The sequence below is a fragment of the Homo sapiens genome, chromosome 2 (genome assembly GCF_000001405.40).
Source record: "Homo sapiens chromosome 2, GRCh38.p14 Primary Assembly".
In the NCBI taxonomy this organism is placed as follows: domain Eukaryota; kingdom Metazoa; phylum Chordata; class Mammalia; order Primates; family Hominidae; genus Homo; species Homo sapiens.
Window position 1 is genome coordinate 165,718,030 of NC_000002.12, and position 22,724 is coordinate 165,740,753.

General features: G+C 37.5%; 1 annotated feature.

The window, feature by feature from the left end:
* Positions 18,852-19,409: an enhancer, noted in NCBI's record as "H3K27ac-H3K4me1 hESC enhancer chr2:166593391-166593948 (GRCh37/hg19 assembly coordinates)". NCBI's record gives its function as "activates a minimal SCP1, AML or CMV promoter by ChIP-STARR-seq in naive H9 embryonic stem cells {active_cell/tissue: H9 hESC(naive)}" and the evidence as "EXISTENCE:reporter gene assay evidence [ECO:0000049][PMID:30033119]".

Here is a 22,724-nt window from a genome sequence, read left to right on the forward strand (position 1 = left end):
TCTTCATTATACTAAGGGAAAAGTAAGGTTTAAAAATAGAAATTCATGGTTGTTTTGTGTTGTTTTTAGTTGTAGCTGTTGTTTGCTCTCCATGTTTTATTTTTACGTACTTTCAAATTTACAGAAAAGTTGTAAGAGTGCTGTTATGGATGGGATGTTTGTATCCCTTCCAAATTCATATGTTGAAATCCTAATCCCCAATGTAATGTATTGGGGAGTAGGGATTTGGGGAGGCATTGAGGTCATCAGGGTGGAGCCCTCATAAGTAGGATTAGTGCAGTTATATATGGGACCCCAGAGAGCTCTCTTGACCTCTTTTGCCAAGTGAGGATACAATGAGAAGATGGCAGCCTGCGCCGTAGAAGAGGATGCTCGCCACAACCCAACCACGCTGGCACCCTGATCTTAAGCTCCCAGACTCCGTAACTGTAAGAAATACATTTCTATTATTCATAAGCCCCCTAATCTATGGTGTGTGTATATGTATTCTTTTAATATACTAGCCCAAACTGACTAAGTAGTACAGAAAATTTTCAAAAACCCTTCACTCAAATCCCCCAAATATTACATTTTACCTTGTTTGCTTTATCTTTCAAACATCTTTTTCCCTGAATCATTTAAGCCTATGGTCTGGAAATGATGCCCTTCACCACTAAATCCTCCAAATCACCATGGATCCAAAACCTGCTAGCTGGGTGAGTCTCCAGACCCTCTGAAGGATAAAGGCCCATAACATCTCTCCCTTGGCTTTCAGATCAACATTTGGTTCCAGTTTCTAATAGCTGGAACATCTCCTTAGAAATTTGGAGCAGCTTCTGGACTTCTCTGAAAGCAAGAACAGAGTAACTATTGTCCACTCTACCAGAGCCTTTGCTTTCTAATGCTTTTCAACATTTAAAGCCACTCCAGTATTTTAAAAAATACAGCTCTTCTTTTACCTTAGCTGCTGACCTAATTTAGCTGAACACATTTCATTAAATATTTATTAAACATCAGTTCGTGGAAGCACTGTATCAAATGGGTACACAAGGGCAATGCCCACTGGGCAGGTTTCCAGCTCATCAAAAAGCACAGCTCTGAATTAAGAGGGTGGCTGAGGCTCTGAAAGGAATAAGGGCAACAGTGAACTTGACTATTTGAAAAAATGTTCTGTGATAATAGTAGGAAATAAAAAAAGATGAGTTAAAGAAGCGGAACCAGGAACATGATAAGCACAGCATAAGATCAGCTATATTTCATCTTCCTGTGTAGGTACTGGAATATGATCTTTTCATTTAATTTGCAATTGCTCATTTTCTTGACAACAAAAGGCAGATCCAAGTGTTGTGGAGGCTGAAGATTATATAATTTGGGAGTTTCTCATTAAAAAAAAAATGAGAACACAAAATAAAGTGTAAAAATAAATACTTAAAATGATCATTTTATCTCAACAAATACATTTTGAAATCTGAAAAATGTCACAAAAGTTAATAAAAATAACAATTTGCCAGACACAGTGGCTCATGCTTATAATCCCATCACTTTGGTAGGCACAGGCAGGAGGATCACTTGAGCCCAGGAGTTCAAAACCAGCCTGGTCAACATAGTGAGACCCCATCTCTACAAAAATAAAGCAAAAATTAGCCAGGCATAGTGACATGTGCCTATAGTCCCAGATACTTGGGAGGCTGAGGCAGGAGGATTGCTAAAGCCCAGGAGGCCGAGGCTGCTGTGAGCCATGATTGCACCACTATACTTCAGCTTGGCCAACACAGCAAGATCCTGTCTCAAAAAATGTAATAGTAATTTTGTTAATTAACTGACATGTCTCTATAATATTTTTTTCTGCATTGTTTAGCTGGATGCTCTCTTCATATAACAAGTACTTTCCACACAGAGAATATAAAAAATAATTCCATCTTACCTCTAGCATAATTGGATACAATTTTTATCAATAATAAATAAATTGACTCCATCATTAGAGCCAATTTAAACAATTCTTTAAATTTCCCCCTATAATTATATCCTTGATCTTCTTGACAGTACAGGCAAAATTTTCCTGTAATTAACAATGAGAGGGTCAAGTCCCCTCTTGGAGGAATTTATCAGAGTCTTTCCAAACGTGGAACCTTTTGTTAGAGTGAGTGTAAAAAAAAAGAACAAGAGGACCTCAGGACATGGGAGAGAAAGAAGGACAATGAAAATAAACAATAGCCTTAAAAATAGAAGCGGAAAACAGAGCTAGGTGAGAAGATGCTGAAACTATCTTTACTGAACACCGACTCTTAAGGCTTTTGGTAACTTTTTCTCTTCTCCCATCACAAAATAAATATGAATGCCAAAGGGCAGGCACACTTCCACTGTTGAGAGAAACAGATCTAAAAATAAGTAGGAAGCAGACAAGAACGAGCAATGAACATGATGAGAACCATGGTGTCTACTTTTAGGTTAACTATGGAGGCATGTAGGCACAGATGGAGGAAGTTAGTTTATCTTTGCTGCTGCACTTAAAAAATAAAAACCAAAAATATAAATGCCATCAAAACATTGACTCTTCTCTAACCAAAATTTTTGGTTTTATATTTAAGGCCAAGCCCATTTAGAAGAAAAGCACATTCATTTGGGTTTTGTGGTTTGGAGAAAGGACTGCCAGAGAGGAGGTGAAAGCCACAGTGGAGCATTCCTGGACAATCCATTGCAGGCTTGGGAGATCACCATGCAGGCAGCTCCTGCTCCATAATAGCCAAAATAGCAACATGACCACAAATAATTCAAAGGCTGAAACATTTTGTTCCCACCAGTTCAAACTCTCCTGCTTCTGTCAAATGGCTGGTAATCCTATCTCCTCTACTAAGCCTTTCCTAAATGAAACAGTGGCAACTCCTTTTGAATTCTACTATTTATTACATAAACACACAATTCCCGTGGTTCCCTTATCACTCCATTAAATGCACTTGCCCTCTGATTGAAACACAATGCAAATCCTTTTATGCTACATTTGTTCAATGCTTGTTGCCTTGACTGTATATAGCCTTAATATCCGGTAGGTGCTTCTAACTTATTGTAAGTTCCACATCTAATTCACAAAGTATTTTGCTTAGCAATGCCTCTTATGATGCAAATAAACTAGTATTTATCACGAGTGCTTTAGGATACAGACAAGAAGACTATTTTAGAGAAAATAAGAATTAAATAATGGTAAGGAAAGCAAACCACCCCTGCGATGTGCATGCTCTCCACCACCACCCCTTTTCCCTCCCTGGATGGTGTCTCACTCTCCACCTCCTTTTTGTCACTTGTCCTTGGTCACACATCAATCTGCCCTCAGCCCTCCAGAGAAGACTTATTCTTCCTGCCTGAAATGTTATTTCTCCCTTGTTCATCTAACCTTGTTCCTTTTTATTAAGTGCTTTATATATACGGAAGACTACATAAATTATGTCTTCACGTTAAATAATAGTAATACAATGAACACCTGTGCATCCACTTTAAGAAATAGAATGTATCTTTGAAGTCTTTGTGTGTACTGTCATGCTCGTGTCCTTCCACATTCCAAGGTAACCATATTCCTAGTTTAGTGTTAATCACTGTCTTGTGGGTTAGTCCAAGTCTTGCTATTCTTTAGAGTTTTACTACCTATTTCTCCCTAACAATACATATATTTAGTTTGAAAAAAAACTCAGAGCAATCGCAAGCCTAGTGGAGTAAGAGAAAGATCAACATTGACACTAAGAGAGGACATGTCCCAGAAGATGAGCTAACAGAGGCTCTCCGTTACAGCATGGCTTCAGTTTCCCCAGGAGTTTACAAAAGTCATTTGCAGGGAAGTCAGAAGGAGAGAGACTGGGGATGTCGGGCTCTCTAAGACAGGGCATTGGGGTGGTCTGTGAATGTGAGTCTGGAGCTGGAGGTCTCCAACCATAAGGACATGAGAGGTGGCAGCTCTGCCTTCTCCACTTCTGAGTTCACCACAGCCCACCTCCTGCTCTTCAGAGTAGGTGGAAGATCACCCTCTTTTGCCCCATCTGAAGAAGAAACTCCAGATTACTAATGGGAAGCTGAAGGGCAGTCAGCCAGGCTGACTCTAAGTTGTCCTTCAAAATGTAGCTCAGGGTTTCCTCTTCCAGCAGAACTTTTCTGACACCCACATGCAATGACCAGGGTCAACCTTTTAACCCCCTGTGCACTCTGTGCTAACCCCTATCAACAGCTCTCCCTCCTACTGCTGTCCCTCTTCCTTATTAAACTGGATGTTCTTCGAGGGAATAAATTATCTTATCAATTTTACTAATAATAACAGTATCATCTGATATTTGCTTTATTTTATAAATGTGGACAAACCTCATTAACATTAAATACCAAGATTTAAAAATTGTAAGGCAGAATATGTGTTCTTGTTACTCCGAATTTATTGGAAATAAAGAATTTTGAGTGTCTCTTCTATTAAAGAAGTTCTGTGAGTGTTCCTTGCATTCTTCTTTCTTCAGGCATGCCTCATCTCATAACATTTCAGTTACTGTGTCATTTGCACAGTTGAGACCTTTCCACATGGATACACGTGAAATAAAGGTGTTACAAAAAGTAGTATTTTTCACTTTACTTTGTGCCTAAAAACAAATACACGTGTATGGTACTACATAAATTAAAAAATATGATTTAATTATCTTCTACTTTTTATAACACGCCTGGAAATTGTTTTTACTTTTATAATTAGGAGGTGAACAGCAGGTCTACAAAATATTAACAGAAAAAGCTAATACCTTTTAATTAAACTTTTCTAACTATAACTTTCAAGATAAGTACCTACACTGTTTTAAAGTAAGCTATAAAATTAAAGTTAGTAAAAAGAAAAAAAAGATATTAATATATCAGACATTACCTCACCATCCAGAATTAACCAGGTTATAATGCTGCATATCCTCCCTGATATCATGTATTTTTAAATAAAATCATTCTGAATATTCTGGTCTTTACCTGATTTATTTCATTCAACATATCCCGGTTATCTCCCCATTTCAATAAATGCACTTCTAAAGCCATAATGTTTAATGTCTGTATATGAATCTCTAAGCATGTAGTAAAATCATAATGCAAAATAAATAAAAATAAACACAAAATTCAGAAGACTGGGTGTTTTTTTAATGAGAGAATTGGATTTGTTAAGGGTTTAGCCATGATTCCAAACACACACATATTTTTCATTATTTGTATACCGTACATGTTTTATATCTAAAAATTTCCATATGAATATTATATTATTTCATAATATATGAAAAAAGCACTCATTCCAATAAGTGTTTGTATTTTTTCCCATCTTTCACTAAACAAACCCCTGACAAATATTCTTCTATTAAAATGTTGCAAATATCCTCTTTTTAATCCTAGGATAAATTTCTAGAAATAGAATTGCTGAGCAAAATGGTTTGTACAATTTTAAGGCCATTAATATATATTACTAAACTGCCACCCAGCAAAGTAATGTCAATTTCTATTCCCATCAGCAATGAATGAGAGTCATTTTCTCTCATTCTTTGCCAACACTGAACATAATGAAGAAGAAAAAAATCTCTGCCAATTTGATCAGTGAAAATTTGTGTTTCATATTTTCTCTAACTTGCATTTCTTTAACTACTAGTGTGATTAAACCTTTTTAAAGTTTTTACCCATTTTTTACTTTTTCTTCTATTAATTGCTTATTAATGGTTTTTATTCTGTTAGGGTATTATTATTCTTATGTATTTATAAGGTTATATAATTAAAGATTTCGAACTTTTGTCTGTCTAATTTGTGGTAGGCAGAATAAGGCTTCCCCCAAATGTCCACATCTTAGTCCTCAGAAAGCCTCCAAACATCTTATGTTACATGACAAAAGGGAATGGAGGTTATAGATGGAACTGAGGTTGCTAATCAACTGACCTAAAATAGGGAGATTATCTTGGATTATCCAGCGGACTAAATGGAATTACAAGGTTCTTAGAAGTAGGAGAGAGGTGGAGGAGGGATCAGAGTCAGAGAGAGGCTTGAAAGCGCTGTACTGCTGGCTTAAAGATGGAGGAATGGAGCCACAAACCAAGAAATGCTGGGGGGCTCTAGAAGCTGGAAATGGCAAAGAAATAGATGCGCTCTTGAAGCTTGCAGAAGAACACAGCTCTGCCAGCATCTTGATTTTTGTCAAATGAGACTCATTTCAGACTTCTGATCTCCAGAACTGTAAGATAAATAGATTTGTGTTGCTTTAAGCCACCTATTGTGTGATAATTTGTTGTAATGGAAATGGGAAACTGATTCACAAGTTGCAAATGTTTTCCCGATTTTTATATACATAATCTTTACAAAGCAATCAAAATGTCCCTTATATTTAGTACCATTTTAAAATGTATTCATTATACCTCTTCTATGTTCAACTACAGTGAAGCAGATAAAATTTGACCAAAAATACAATTTTTTTTTTCTTTAAAAAAGGAGGGGGTTTCCTCTTCACCCTTTCTTTCTCCTTTTCTTTTCCCTTTGCTTGGAGGTGGCTGGGAGCTGAGGAAGCTAGAAGAACAAGGAGAAAATGGCTGAGGAGATAGTCCTGGGGTCAGGAGCCAAAAAAAGCTGATGACATAGTCAGTAGATTGGTTATATGCAGGGGGATTAAGGAAATAAGCAAATATTGAAGATAGTGAGAGCCAGGTTTTTCACTGTCAGAGAAGGGATTTATAAAAATGCAAATGAGCCAGTGCTTTGGCTCATGCCTATAATCCCAGCACTTCGGGAGGGCAAGGCGGGTGGATCACTTGAGGTCAGGAGTTCGAGACCAGCCTGGCCAACATAGTGAAATGCCGTCTCTACTAAAAATACAAAAATTAGCCTAGTGTCATGGCACGTGCCTGTAATCCCAGCTACTCGGGAGGCTGAGGCAGGAAAATTGCTTAAACCCTGGAGGCAGAGGCTACAGTGAGCCGAGATCTCATTACTGCACTCCAGCCTGGGTGACAGAGCAAGACTGTCTCAGAAAAAAAAAAAAAAAAAAAAAAAAAAATATATATATATATATATATATATATGAAAATGGAGAAGGCTAAGGTATTACGTTGTCATTGAGAAAAAGAAGGAGGGAGGGAGAGAGGTACAGATGAAACAGATATATGTATATATATATACACACACTTTTATAATTAGATGGATATATATAGAGAGATAGATGATATATAAATACAGCTCTGTCGGCCTGGTAGTAATGAGTATACTAAGCACCCAGATCTGGATTTATAAATGCCTCTACCAAAAGGAACCAGACTGCAGAGAAAAATAGTTGATTCTAAGGTTGAGACATGGAAAGTACAAAATTAGCCCAAAAGTATGGAAATATTCTAAGAATGATGGAAACATGCAAAATAAACCCACGGAACTTAGCTTGAAGAGGCTCTCATGGCCAAATCTGAGACACATGAAGTATCAGAATAAATGTTGATAGTAACCAGATTATAACCCATTGAATAAAGTAGGAATCTATCAGACCATAATGAATGAATAAATGAATAAAAGGAAAAAATTCTTGCAGTATAATGCCAACAAACTAATGTGGAAAGAATGATGACACATATCAGAGAGGAAGTTGAATCAGGTAGGAGTCATCAGTGGATGCCAAAGCCAGTGGGTAGAAATTTGATGAATAATTATATATTTGCATAGTCTTGAGTATCTCCCCATGAAACACTTCCACTCACAAAGGGGAAAATGGTGGACCTATGGTCCAGGAACCTGGCAGACACCAACTTGAACAGGTTGTCAATGTTAACATCTCCAGGGTTCAGATGAATTAACATTGAAGGATTCCTCATATACTACTGGAAGTACAATATCATTTCAGTGCTATTCCTGATAAGAATGTATGGTGTGAGTGTGAACATGAGGAAATATTAGATGGTTCCAGGTTGATTGATGTGGTTTATACTCTAAAACTGCAAATTACATGAATGTCAAGGAAAAGACTGTCAAGCCGCTCCATGTTGAAGGACACTAAAATACATGACAACCAAATGCAATGCATGATCCTGGATTGAGTTCTAGAACAAGAAGGAGAAAGAAACATTATGGGAACAGGAATATTTGAATGAGATCTTTGGAATAATTGGCTGCTAGTATTATATCAATGTTTATTACTTGATTTTAGATAGTGGTATCTCTATTACGTGGTAGAGTGTTTTTTGTATGCAATGCACTATGGGGTGTTAGGAATCACGGGACATGCTGCCTACAACTCCTATGATCCCAAAATGATTCAGGAAAAAAAGAATGAAGTGTGCATGTGTGTGTATGTGTGTGTGTGTGTATGTGTGTGAACTTTCATGCCACAAATATTTATTCAAGCCTATAAGAGATGCTAATCACTGCAAACTAAATATTGATAATCCAAGAATTTAAAAAATGTAATAGTTAATACTTTATCTTAGTGGGCAATTAAAAATAGAAACAATGGCTAGAAAAATAGTTTTACACAAGAGGTAATTAAAATGGGCCTAGAAGACCATAGATTTCAAACATTAAGGAAAGTAATAAGCAATAGGCAAAATATGGTAGTGTAAAAGTGAATGGCATTTCAGGGAATAATGAGGTCAGTACGTTAGATGTAAGTGACGAGAAGGAATATAGCGAGGGGAAGAAATCCCTAAAAAAAAAGAAGAAAAGAAAAAAACCTAGAGGCCAAATTATGACACTAGAGCCTTTGGACAGTATCTGCCCGAAGATTAGAAGCCGCTGTAGCTGGGCATGGTGGCTCGTGTCTGTAATCCCAGCACCTTGTGGGCAAAGGCAAGAGGATTGCTTGAGACCAGGAGTTTGAGACCAGCCTGGGCCACATAGCGAGACCTCATCTCTAAAAAAAAAAAAAAAAAAAAAAAAAAAAAAATTAAAAATTAGCCAGATGTGATGGTGTGCACCTGTGGTCCCAGCTACTTGGGAAGCTGAGGTGGGAGGATGAGGCTGCAGTGAGCCGTGGTTGCATCCATGCACTCCAGCATGGATGACAGAGAAAAACTTTGTCTCAAAAAAGAGAAAGTCATTGTAGGCTTTTAGTGGGCAAATGAAGTATTCAAGTCTGTAAGTTATTAATCAAATGCAGTTTAAATATAAAAGCCCATATAAAAATATAGTTTAAGAAATAAGCACCAGAACAAACAATTTCTGAAACATTTTCAGTGGATTATTTCCAATGGAAATAGATAAAAATGTGTCCAATTAAAGAATCCATTATAAAAATAGGTTATAAGATAAAAATGTAAACATTCTTCATACTCAGCATCTCCAAGTACTCAAAGATCCCAGAGTCATAGCACTTTAAAACTAATGTGATTTTTATAAAGGAGTGGAAAATATGCTTAGCATGCAGCATAAAAAAGTAAAAATATTAATCTGTGCTTTTTAATATGGCAGGGAACATCTATTCTTTCATTTAAACTGGAGTCTCGCCTTCTCCACAAAGACACAGGGAGAGGAAAATAATTGACAAGAATAGGAAGTGAAGAATTTATGATTCTCAATAAAAGTATGTATTGAAACAAAATCAGTACTACACGTCTTCTAAAAATTGCTGCTGGATGGCCTAATAAAGTCTAGGTGCATGCAAGACAGCTGAAAAATGTACTTGTTACCACAAGAGGGAAGGTGTTTCTCCAAGTGCTTTGCAGCAATCTACCAAAGTTTTGAAGTTGGGGCAGTAGAGTTGACTGACATACCCTGAAGCCATCTCAGTATCAGTCTAGTGGTAGGGCAGGAAAGCTGAGAGAAGTCCCTCTGATATGCATTAGAACTTCACCAGCTGCCAACTGAAAGCTGAGTGAAAGGCCAAGAGAAGTATCCCAAGTTGCAGAAAAGTGGGGGCCATACTACAGAGAAAATATAACTCCCAAGTGACCTAAAGAGTTGGACAGTTTAGTTATAAAGCAGAAAGACCTCTTCCATGATTTGAAAAACAGGTGTCTGTGCCATAAAGTATAAAGAGATCTGAAATCTCACTGGTGTATAATCCTCAAGCTCTGCTGAAGACCCTAATTCTGCCCTCAGAATACTTTTATACAATAGTGAGCTGAATCTTATTAAAGTTATAATAAAATTCAAATGTTGCTTAAGAACAGATTAAATTGACCCAATTCCCAACTCCAGCAGCTTGACAGAGGAGCATGCCCTTTTCTGTAGATAAATATTGTCAGTCTCTACTGTTTTTTCATATACAATGCTCAGTATAAGACCAATAACAAAAAAGACAAGCAGGAAAGTGTTACCCCCATGACATGCAATTTACTCATGTAACAAATCTGCACATGTACCCACTGAATCTAAAACAAAAGTTGGAAAATAAAAACAACAATAGGATATTTAGAATATCCTCAAATTTGGAAATTAAGCAATACACTTGTAAAGAGTTCATGAGTTGAAAAGATAAACTGAAAAATAATTTGAGCTGAGTGATAATGAAAACACCATATATCATAATTTGTGGTGTGCAGCAGCTAAAGTATTACAGGAGAATTTATAGCTTTGAACAAGAAAAAGGGTTTAAAATCAATTACTCAAGCTTCCACCTTAAGGCACGCACCACCATGCCTGGCTAATTTTTGTGGGGATTTTTTTGAAGAGATGGAGTCCCACTATATTGTTGAGGCTGGTCTTGAACTCCTGGCCTCAAGTGATGCTCCTGCCCCAGCCTCCCAAAGTGTTGGGATTTCAGGCATGAACCACTGCATGAGCCATGAAATTATATTTATATTACACATTATCTTTCAGAAAATAAAGGTGGAGAAAACAACTTTCCAAATGGTTCTATGTCCAGCATAACCTTGATAATAAAACCTGACACATTATAAGAAAATTCCCAAATAATATCTTTCACAAACATAAACACAAAAATCCCCCACAAAATATTAACAAATTAAATCAATCAAAATATAGAAAGTATTTGTAATGCAGGTTGTAGTCAGGGCAACTAAGTGAGAACAGAAATAAAAGGTATCCAGATTAGAAAGAAAGAAGTAAAACGATTTCTACACACAGATAGCGTGATCTCGTATACAGAAAGCCCTAAGGAATCCACTAACTATAAAAACTAACAATTCAGCAAGGTTTCAGACTACAATATCAATATATAAAAATCAATTTTATGTCTATACACTTTCAATGAATTCAAAATAAACTCAAAAACAAAACTAAGAAAATTTATAATTGCAGCAAAAAGACAGGAATAAATTTAACAAAAGAAGTGCAAAATTAATAGTCTGCAAACTATAAAACATTATTGAAAGAAATTAGGTATTACAATAAATGGAAAAACATCCCATGTTCATGGATCAGAAGACTTAATATTGTTAAAATGGCAATCTCTATTAGAATCCCAGATATCATTGTGGAAATTGACAAGCTGATACTAAAGTTCATATAAAATCGCAAAGGGTACATAAGAGCTAAAACAATCTTGAAAACACAGAAAGCAAAGTAGAAAAAAATCACACCTCTCAATTTCAAAATTTACTCCAAAATGATGGCAACCAAAATAGTGTGGTGCTAGCACAAGGACAGAATATAGGTGAAAGGAACTGAATTGAGAGACCATGTTTCTATGGTCAACTGATTTTGACAAGAATGCCACAACCATTCAGTGAGGAGAAGAATAGTCTTTTCAACAAATGGGGCTGGAACTATTGGATATCCACATGCAAAATAATGAGGCTGAACCCTTACCTCATACCATATACAAAAATAAACTTAAAATGTATCAAAGACCTAAATTTAAAACGGAAAACCATAAAAACTCATTGAAGAAAACATAGACATAAATCTTCATGACCTCAGATTTGGCAAAGGATTCTTACATATGGCATGAAACGTATGAACAACAAAAGAAAAAAAATTGATAATTTGAACTTGATAAAAATTAAAACCTTGTCCTTCAAAGGAAACCACCAATAAAGTGAAATAACAATTTCACAGAATGGGAGAAAATATTTGCAAATCATATCTCTTATATGGGACTTTCCAAAATATATAAATAACACAACTTACTAAGAAAAAAGACAGCCCAAATTAAAAATAGGCAAACCACAATAAACATTTCTTCAAGGAAAATATACAAATGGCCAATAAGCACATGAAAGATGTTTAACGTAATTATTTATCAGAGAAATGCAAATAAAAACCCAAATGAGATACCAATTCAAACACACAAGGATGGCTAGAATCAAAAAGTTAGATAATAAAAAGTGTTGGTAAGGATGAGGAGAAATCAGAACCCTCATATGTTGCTGGTGGAGTTGTAAAATGGTGCAGCCACTTTGGAAAACAATAGGTAATTCCTAAAGTGATTAAACATAGAGAGACAATATGACCCAGCAATTCCACTCCTAGATATGTACTCAAGAGAATTAAAAACATGTTTTCAGTCAGATGTGGTAGCGCATGCCTATAATCCCAGTACTTTGGGAGGAAAGGCAGGTGGATTGCTTGAGCTCAGGCTTTAGAGACCAGCATGGACAACAAAGTGAGACTCCATCTCTAAACAAAATACAAAAATTAGCTGGGTGTGGTGGCATGTGCCTGTAGTCCCAGCTACTCAGGAGGCTAAGGAGGGAGAATGGCAAGGCTGCAGTGAGCCAAGACCATGCCACTGCACCCTAGACTGGGCAACAGAGCCACACCCTGTCTCAAAAAACAAAACAAAACAAAAACAGGCATTCAAACAAAAACTTATGCACAAATGTTTTTGTGTATACACAGCAGAATTATTCATAAAAGTCAGAAAGTGTCAAACGTCCAACAAGTGATGAATGAATAAACACATATGGCTTATCCATATAATGAAATATTATCTGGTCATAAGAAAAAATGCTGATACTTGCTGAAGTATGCATGAATCTTGAAAACATTGTGACTAAATTAAATAAGCCAGTCACAGAAAACCACATATTATATGACTCCATTTATACAAAATGTCAAGCATAGGAGTATCTCTACAGACAGACAAGTAGATTGTTCTTTTTTTAATCCTATGTTATAAAAGGAATACTTTGTTATGACCAAGTGTAGGTTATCCCAAGTATGCAACGTTGGTTTCACACATGAAAAGTACAACATGAGTAGGATAAAGGATAAGATCCTATCATGGACTCAATAGAAAACATATTTGACAAAATTTTACACTTATGCATGATAAAAACTCTCAAACTAGGAATAGAAGGAAATTTCCTGAATTTAATAAGTGCAAAATCTATAGCAAAGACCACACTTAAGGATAAAACAGTGAATATTTTCCTCTTAAGAACAGAAAAAAAATGCAAGGATGTTCATTATCACTTCTATTCAACATTGTATTACAAGTCCCAATAAATGTAATAAGGCAAGAAAAAGAACTACAAGGCATAAACATTGTGGGGGGAAAGTAAATTAACAAGTAGATTCCAAAATTTACAGAAAAAATGCAAATAATCTAAAATAGTCAAAATAATGTTGAAAACAGAATAAGTAGGACAATACACAATCTATAAAACTACAGTAATCAAGATAGTGTGTGTTGCCATAAGCAAAGACATGTAGACCAATAAAATAGAAGAGTGAGTTCAGAAATTGACACACACAAGCATAGCATCCATTGATTTTTTTTTTTTTACCATTATTATTTTTTCTTTTTTTTTTATTATTATACTTTAAGTTTTAGGGTACATGTGCACATTGTGCAGGTTAGTTACATATGTATACATGTGCGATGCTGGTGCGCTGCACCCACTAACTCGTCATCTAGCATTAGGTATATCTCCCAATGCTATCCCTCCCCCCTCCCCCCACCCCACCACAGTCCCCAGAGTGTGATATTCCCCTTCCTGTGTCCATGTGATCTCATTGTTCAATTCCCACCTATGAGTGAGAATATGCGGTGTTTGGTTTTTTGTTCTTGCAATAGTTTACTGAGAATGATGATTTCCAATTTCATCCATGTCCCTACAAAGGACATGAACTCATCATTTTTTATGGCTGCATAGTATTCCATGGTGTATATGTGCCACATTTTCTTAATCCAGTCTATCATTGTTGGACATTTGGGTTGGTTCCAAGTCTTTGCTATTGTGAATAATGCCGCAATAAACATACGTGTGCATGTGTCTTTATAGCAGCATGATTTATAGTCCTTTGGGTATATACCCAGTAATGGGATGGCTGGGTCAAATGGTATTTCTAGTTCTAGATCCCTGAGGAATCGCCACACTGACTTCCACAATGGTTGAACTAGTTTACAGTCCCACCAACAGTGTAAAAGTGTTCCTATTTCTCCACATCCTCTCCAGCACCTGTTGTTTCCTGACTTTTTAATGATTCCCATTCTAACTGGTGTGAGATGGTATCTCATTGTGGTTTTGATTTGCATTTCTCTGATGGCCAGTGATGATGAGCATTTTTTCATGTGTTTTTTGGCTGCATAAATGTCTTCTTTTGAGAAGTGTCTGTTCATGTCCTTCGCCCACTTTTTGATGGGGTTGTTTTTTTTTTCTTGTAAATTTGGTTGAGTTCATTGTAGATTCTGGATATTAGCCCTTTGTCAGATGAGTAGGTTGCAAAAATTTTCTCCCATGTTGTAGGTTGCCTGTTCACTCTGATGGTAGTTTCTCTTGCTGTGCAGAAGCTCTTTAGTTTAATTAGATCCCATTTGTCAATTTTGGCTTTTGTTGCCATTGCTTTTGGTGTTTTGGACATGAAGTCCTTGCCCATGCCTATGTCCTGAATGGTAATGCCTAGGTTTTCTTCTAGGGTTTTTATGGTTTTAGGTCTAACGTTTAAATCTTTAATCCATCTTGAATTGATTTTTGTATAAGGTGTAAGGAAGGGATCCAGTTTCAGCTTTCTACATATGGCTAGCCAGTTTTCCCAGCACCATTTATTAAATAGGGAATCCTTTCCCCATTTCTTGTTTTTCTCAGATTTGTCAAAGATCAGACAGTTGTAGGTATGTCGTGTTATTTCTGAGGGCTCTGTTCTGTTCCATTGATCTATATCTCTGTTTTGGTACCAGTACCATGCTGTTTTGGTTACTGTAGCCTTGTAGTAAAGTTTGAAGTCAGGTAGTGTGATGCCTCCAGCTTTGTTCTTTTGGCTTAGGATTGACTTGGCGATGCAGGCTCTTTTTTGGTTCCACATGAACTTTAAAGTAGTTTTTTCCAATTCTGTGAAGAAAGTCATTGGTAGCTTGATGGCGATGGCATTGAATCTGTAAATTACCTTGGGCAGTATGGCCATTTTCACGATATTGATTCTTCCTACCCATGAGCATGGAATGTTCTTCCATTTGTTTGTATCCTCTTTTATTTCCTTGAGCAGTGGTTTGTAGTTCTCCTCGAAGAGGTCCTTCACATCCCTTGTAAGTTGGATTCCTAGGTATTTTATTCTCTTTGAAGCAATTGTGAATGGGACTTCACTCATGATTTGGCTCTCTGTTTGTCTGTTGTTGGTGTATAAGAATGCTTGTGATTTTTGTACATTGATTTTATATCCTGAGACTTTGCTGAAGTTGCTTATCAGCTTAAGGAGATTTTGGGCTGAGACAATGGGGTTTTCTAGATATACAATCATGTCATCTGCAAACAGGGACAATTTGACTTCCTCTTTTCCTAATTGAATACCCTTTATTTCCTTCTCCTGCCTAATTGCCCTGGCCAGAACTTCCAACACTATGTTGAATAGGAGTGGTGAGAGAGGGCATCCCTGTCTTGTGCCAGTTTTCAAAGGGAATGCTTCCAGTTTTTGCCCATTCAGCATGATATTGGCTGTGGGTTTGTCATAGATAGCTCTTATTATTTTGAAATACGTCCCATCAATACCTAAGTTATTGAGAGTTTTTAGCATGAAGGGTTGTTGAATTTTGTCAAAGTCTTTTTCTGCATCTATTGAGATAATCATGTGGTTTTTGTCTTTGGCTCTGTTTATATGCTGGATTACATTTATTGATTTGCGTATATTGAACCAGCCTTGCATCCCAGGGATGAAGCCCACTTGATCATGGTGGATAAGCTTTTTGATGTGCTGCTGGATTTGGTTTGCCAGTATTTTATTGAGGATTTTTGCATCAATGTTCATCAAGGATATTGGTCTAAAATTCTCTTTTTTTGTTGTGTCTCTGCCTGGCTTTGGTATCAGAATGATGCTGGCCTCATAAAATGAGTTAGGGAGGATTCCCTCTTTTTCTATTGATTGGAATAGTTTCAGAAGGAATGGTACCAGTTCCTCCTTGTACCTCTGGTAGAATTCGGCTGTGAATCCATCTGGTCCTGGACTCTTTTTGGTTGGTAAGCTATTGATTATTGCCACAATTTCAGCTCCTGTTATTGGTCTATTAAGAGATTCAACTTCTTCCTGGTTTAGTCTTGGGAGAGTGTATGTGTCGAGGAATTTATCCATTTCTTCTAGATTTTCTAGTTTATTTGCATAGAGGTGTTTGTAGTATTCTCTGATGGTAGTTTGTATTTCTGTGGGATCGGTGGTGATATCCCCTTTATCATTTTTTATTGTGTCTATTTGATTCTTCTCTCTTTTTTTCTTTATTAGTCTTGCTAGCGGTCTATCAATTTTGTTGATCCTTTCAAAAAACCAGCTCCTGGATTCATTGATTTTTTGAAGGGTTTTTTGTGTCTCTATTTCCTTCAGTTCTGCTCTGATTTTAGTTATTTCTTGCCTTCTGCTAGCTTTTGAATGTGTTTGCTCTTGCTTTTCTAGTTCTTTTAATTGTGATGTTAGGGTGTCAATTTTGGATCTTTCCTGCTTTCTCTTGTGGGCATTTAGTGCTATAAATTTCCCTCTACACACTGCTTTGAATGCGTCCCAGAGATTCTGGTATGTTGTGTCTTTGTTCTTGTTGGTTTCAAAGAACATCTTTATTTCTGCCTTCATTTTGTTATGTACCCAGTAGTCATTCAGGAGCAGGTTGTTCAGTTTCCATGTAGTTGAGCGGCTTTGAGTGAGTTTCTTAATCCTGAGTTCTAGTTTCATTGCACTGTGGTCTGAGAGATAGTTTGTTATAATTTCTGTTCTTTTACATTTGCTGAGGAGAGCTTTACTTCCAACTACGTGGTCAATTTTGGAATAGGTGTGGTGTGGTGCTGAAAAAAATGTATATTCTGTTGATTTGGGGTGGAGAGTTCTGTAGATGTCTATTAGGTCCACTTGGTGCAGAGCTGAGTTCAATTCCTGGGTATCCTTGTTGACTTTCTGTCTCGTTGATCTGTCTAATGTTGACAGTGGGGTGTTAAAGTCTCCCATTATTATTGTGTGGGAGTCTAAGTCTCTTTGTAGGTCACTCAGGACTTGCTTTATGAATCTGGGTGCTCCTGTATTGGGTGCATATATATTTAGGATAGTTAGCTCTTCTTGTTGAATTGATCCCTTTACCATTATGTAATGGCCTTCTTTGTCTCTTTTGATCTTTGTTGGTTTAAAGTCTGTTTTATCAGAGACTAGGATTGCAACCCCTGCCTTTTTTTGTTTTCCATTTGCTTGGTAGATCTTCCTCCATCATTTTATTTTGAGCCTATGTGTGTCTCTGCACGTGAGATGGGTTTCCTGAATACAGCACACTGATGGGTCTTGACTCTTTATCCAATTTGCCAGTCTGTGTCTTTTAATTGGAGAATTTAGTCCATTTACATTTAAAGTTAATATTGTTATGTGTGAATTTGATCCTGTCATTATGATGTTAGCTGGTGATTTTGCTCGTTAGTTGATGCAGTTTCTTCCTAGTCTCGATGGTCTTTACATTTTGGCATGATTTTGCAGCAGCTGGTACTGGTTGTTCCTTTCCATGTTTAGCGCTTCCTTCAGGAGCTCTTTTAGGGCAGGCCTGGTGGTGACAAAATCTCTCAGCATTTGCTTTTCTGTAAAGTATTTTATTTCTCCTTCACTTATGAAGCTTAGCTTGGCTGGATATGAAATTCTGGGTTGAAAATTCTTTTCTTTAAGAATGTTGAATATTGGCCCCCACTCTCTTCTGGCTTGTAGGGTTTCTGCCGAGAGATCCGCTGTTAGTCTGATGGGCTTCCCTTTGAGGGTAACCCGACCTTTCTCTCTGGCTGCCCTTAACATTTTTTCCTTCATTTCAACTTTGGTGAATCTGACAATTATGTGTCTTGGAGTTGCTCTTCTCAAGGAGTATCTTTGTGGCGTTCTCTGTATTTCCTGAATCTGAACATTGGCCTGCCTTGCTAGATTGGGGAAGTTCTCCTGGATAATATCCTGCAGAGTGTTTTCCAACTTGGTTCCATTCTCCCCATCACTTTCAGGTACACCAATCAGAGGTAGATTTGGTCTTTTCACATAGTCCCATATTTCTTGGAGGCTTTGCTCATTTCTTTTTATTCTTTTTTCTCTAAACTTCCCTTCTCACTTCATTTCATTCATTTCATCTTCCATTGCTGACACCCTTTCTTCCAGTTGATCGCATCAGCTCCTGAGGCTTCTGCATTCTTCACGTAGTTCTCGAGCCTTGGTTTTCAGCTCCATCAGCTCCTTTAAGCACTTCTCTGTATTGGTTATTCTAGTTATACATTCTTCTAAATTTTTTTCGAAGTTTTCAACTTCTTTGCCTTTGGTTTGAATGTCCTCCCGTAGCTCAGAGTAATTTGATCGTCTGAAGCCTTCTTCTCTCAGCTCGTCAAAGTCATTCTCCATCCAGCTTTGTTCTGTTGCTGGTGAGGAGCTGCGTTCCTTTGGAGGAGGAGAGGCGCTCTGATTTTTAGAGCTTCCAGTTTTTCTGTTCTGTTTTTTCCCCATCTTTGTGGTTTTATCTACTTTTGGTCTTTGATGATGGTGATGTACAGATGGGTTTTTGGTGTGGATGTCCTTTCTGTTTGTTAGTTTTCCTTCTAACAGACAGGACCCTCAGCTGCAGGTCTGTTGGAATACCCTGCCATGTGAGGTGTCAGTGTGCCCCTGCTGGGGGGTGCCTCCCAGTTAGGCTGCTTGGGGGTCAGGGGTCAGGGACCCACTTGAAGAGGCAGTCTGCCGGTTCTCAGATCTCCAGCTGCGTGCTGGGAGAACCACTGCTCCCTTCAAAGCTGTCAGACAGGGACATTTAAGTCTGCAGAGGTTACTGCTGTCTTTTTGTTTGTCTGTGCCCTGCCCCCAGAGGTGGAGCCTACAGAGGCAGGCAGGCCTCCTTGAGCTGTGGTGGGCTCCACCCAGTTCGAGCTTCCTGGCTGCTTTGTTTACCTAAGCAAGCCTGGGCAATGGCGGGCGCCCCTCCCCCAGCCTCGCTGCCGCCTTGCAGTTTGATCTCAGACTGCTGTGCTAGCAATCAGCGAGATTCCGTGGGCGTAGGACCCTCCGAGCCAGGTGTGGGATATAGTCTCGTGGTGCGCCGTTTTTTAAGCCGGTCTGAAAAGCGCAATGTTCGGGTGGGAGTGACCCGATTTTCCAGGTGCGTCCATCACCCCTTTCTTTGACTCGGAAAGGGAACTCTCTGACCCCTTGCGCTTCCCAGGTGAGGCAATGCCTCGCCCTGCTTCGGCTCGCGCACGGTGCGCGCACCCACTGGCCTGCGCCCACTGTCTGGCACTCCCTAGTGAGATGAACCTGGTACCTCAGATGGAAATGCAGAAATCACCGGTCTTCTGCATCGGTCACGCTGGGAGCTGTAGACCGGAGCTGTTCCTATTCGGCCATCTTGGCTCCTCCCCCGCATCCATTGATTTTTTAACAAAGGTACCGACACAATTCCTGTATTAGTCCATTCTCACATTGCTATAAAGAACTGCCTGAGATTGGGTAATTTATAAAGGAAAGTAGTTCAATCGCATGGCAGAAGGGGAAGCAAAGGCATCTTTCTTCACATGATGACAGGTAGGAGAAGTGCAGAGCAACAGGGGAAAAAACCCCTTATAAAACCATCAGATCTCGTGAGAATGCACTCACTATCCCGAGAACAGGATGGAGGAAACTGCCCGCATGATTCAATTATCTCCAGGACATGTGGAGATTATGGGAACTCAAATTCAAGATGAGATTTGGGTAGGGACACAGCCAAACCATAACAATTCCTTTGGGAAAGCAAGTTCCCAAATGGTGTTTGAACAACGGAAAATTAAATTAGTAAATCTCAACCTCCTACATCACTCTATGTACAAAAATTATTTCAAGATTAATCATTGACTTAAAATAAAAGTTAGAAAAATAAAGCATCTAGAAAAAACATTGAAGTAGATCTTCATACGTTTGAGATAGGCAAAGATTTCTTTAGAGCATAAAAAGCACCAAACATAAAACAAAACTTGATAAATTACACAACATCAAAAATAAGAACTTCTGCACATTAAAAAATGTTATAAGAAATAAAATCAAGCTTCAGACTTGGAGAAAATATTTACAACACAATTATTTTACAATACAAATATCTAACAAAGGACTTGTATTTAGAATATATAACGACCTGCAAATCAATAATGAAGAAATCTACTCAATAAATATGCATATAATATGTAAACATTTTACCAAAAAAAATGACTGTTCAACATGAACATAAAAAGGTGCTTATCAGGGAAATAACAATTAAAACCACCACAAGATACATACTAGAATGTTTAAAATAAAAAGGACTGAAAATACCAAGTTTTGGCAAGGAAGTGAAACCACTGGGAACTCTCATATATTGCTGGTGGAAATGTGAAATATCACAACCATTTAAAAAAACCTGTGGCAGTACCTTTTAAAGTTGGATATACATGGTATCCATGAATCCATTCCTAGGTGTCTACCTTAAAAAAAAGTGAAAACATTTTTCACTGGAAAATGTTAAAGATGTTTCATTGTAGAACTTTTTCTCCAGTGAAAAAGTAAAACCTTTTAACTTTTTTTTTTTTTTTTTTTTTTGAGATGGAGTCTCGCTCTGTCACCCAGGCTGGAGTGCAGTGGCATGATCTCGGTTCACTGCAAGCTCTGCCTCTCGGATTCACCCCATTCTCCTGCCTCAGTCTCCCGAGTAGCTGGGACTACAGGAGCCCACCACCACGCCCGGCTAATTTTTTGTATTTTTAGCAGAGATGGGTTTTCATTGTGTTAGCCAGGATGGTCTCGATCTCCTGACCTCGTCCTCGTGACTTCCCTGCCTCGGCCTCCCAAAGTGCTGGAATTATAGGCATGAGCCCGGCCATGTTTTCACTTTTTTTAAAGATAAAAAGACTTGTATATGAATGATCATAGCCCCCTTATTCAAAATATTCAAAAATTTAAAATATCTCAAATGTCTGTCATGAAAGAATGGACAAAGAAATTGTGGTATATCTATACATGGAATAATACTCAGCAATTGAAAAGACAGTCTACAAATGGACAAAACCTCATGGATTCATATCAAAAAACATTATAATGAACAACCAAAAGCAGATACAAAAATATGTAATGTATTATTCCATTTAGATGAAACAAAAGAATAATTGATGCTAATGCATGCTGATAAAAATCAGGATGGTTGCTTTCAGGGTTGAAAGTTTGAGTTGAGGGAGATGCAAAGCACTTTCTGGTGTGAAGGAAATATTCTAGATCTTGTTTTGGGCGGCAGTTATAAGGATATCTACAAGTCAAAACTCATTAAACTGAACTCTTAAATTCTGTGCATTTTATTATATACAAATTATTTTGCAATAAGAATTAATTTTTAAAAAGCAATAAAAATTGCTGCTCGGCGAAAACAAATTATGAATATACTATCTAACACACTTTCTGGTGTGAAGGAAATATTCTAGATCTTGTTTTGTGTGGCAGTTACAAGGATATCTACAAGTCAAAACTCATTAAACTCAACTTTTAAATTCTGTGCATTTTATTACATATAAATTATTTTGCAAAAATAATTAATTAAAAAACAATAAAAATTACTGTTCTGAGAAAACAAATTATGAATATACCATCTAACTCTACAGAGTACAGAAATAAAAAATATAGTAATATCTTTGACCTATTTGAAAGTCAACAAAAGAAAAGCAAGAAAGTGCCTACAATATGATTAAGTGAATGGCATTTATATATATGTATAATCATTTAAATGTTTACAGTTTAAAGGAAAAAATAGTGAGGAAAAGAATGCTATGGTTTTCAAATCCTACGGTTTGTACTAAAGTTGTTTGTCTTTTTTTTTTTCTTAGCTACCTGGCATCTGAACTCCCTTTCTGTGCCTGTGAAATTTCCACCTTCAACTGCAGAAGCTGCAAAGCCAGATACTTGCTTTCATAGCCTCCATTACTTTGAGGGTAGGGCACATGAATAGGCTCAGTTACTCTGACTTCAGCTTGGATATTGACTTGGGAACTAGTGAGAAAAGAAGCACTCAGTGGAGAATTAGTTCTGGCAGCAATAGTAGCAGTTACCTCGAGGATCTGGTCACAGTTATAGCAGGGGGGTCATCCAGTAGCCAATGTCAGCAGCAAACAATGCCAATGCCAATGCTAGAGAAATGAGAGGTACAAACCATTCATCTAGCATTTGCTGGCATCAGAAAAAATATCCTCACTAGTCAAGTTCTGCAGCATAATTTTAGCTTCAAAGCTATGCACTTTGTTTTATCCTGCCTGCCCATTTTTTAAGCCTTTTCTCTAGTGTTCCAAATGACTCTGTGAACTACTCAATATCCTTTCAACAAACTTCTTTTCCACTTGAATCATCCAGAGTTAATTTCTATTGCTGGCAATACTAACTCTGATGGAAAAATAAAATAATAAATGCACTCTAACACAGAATAACAGAAA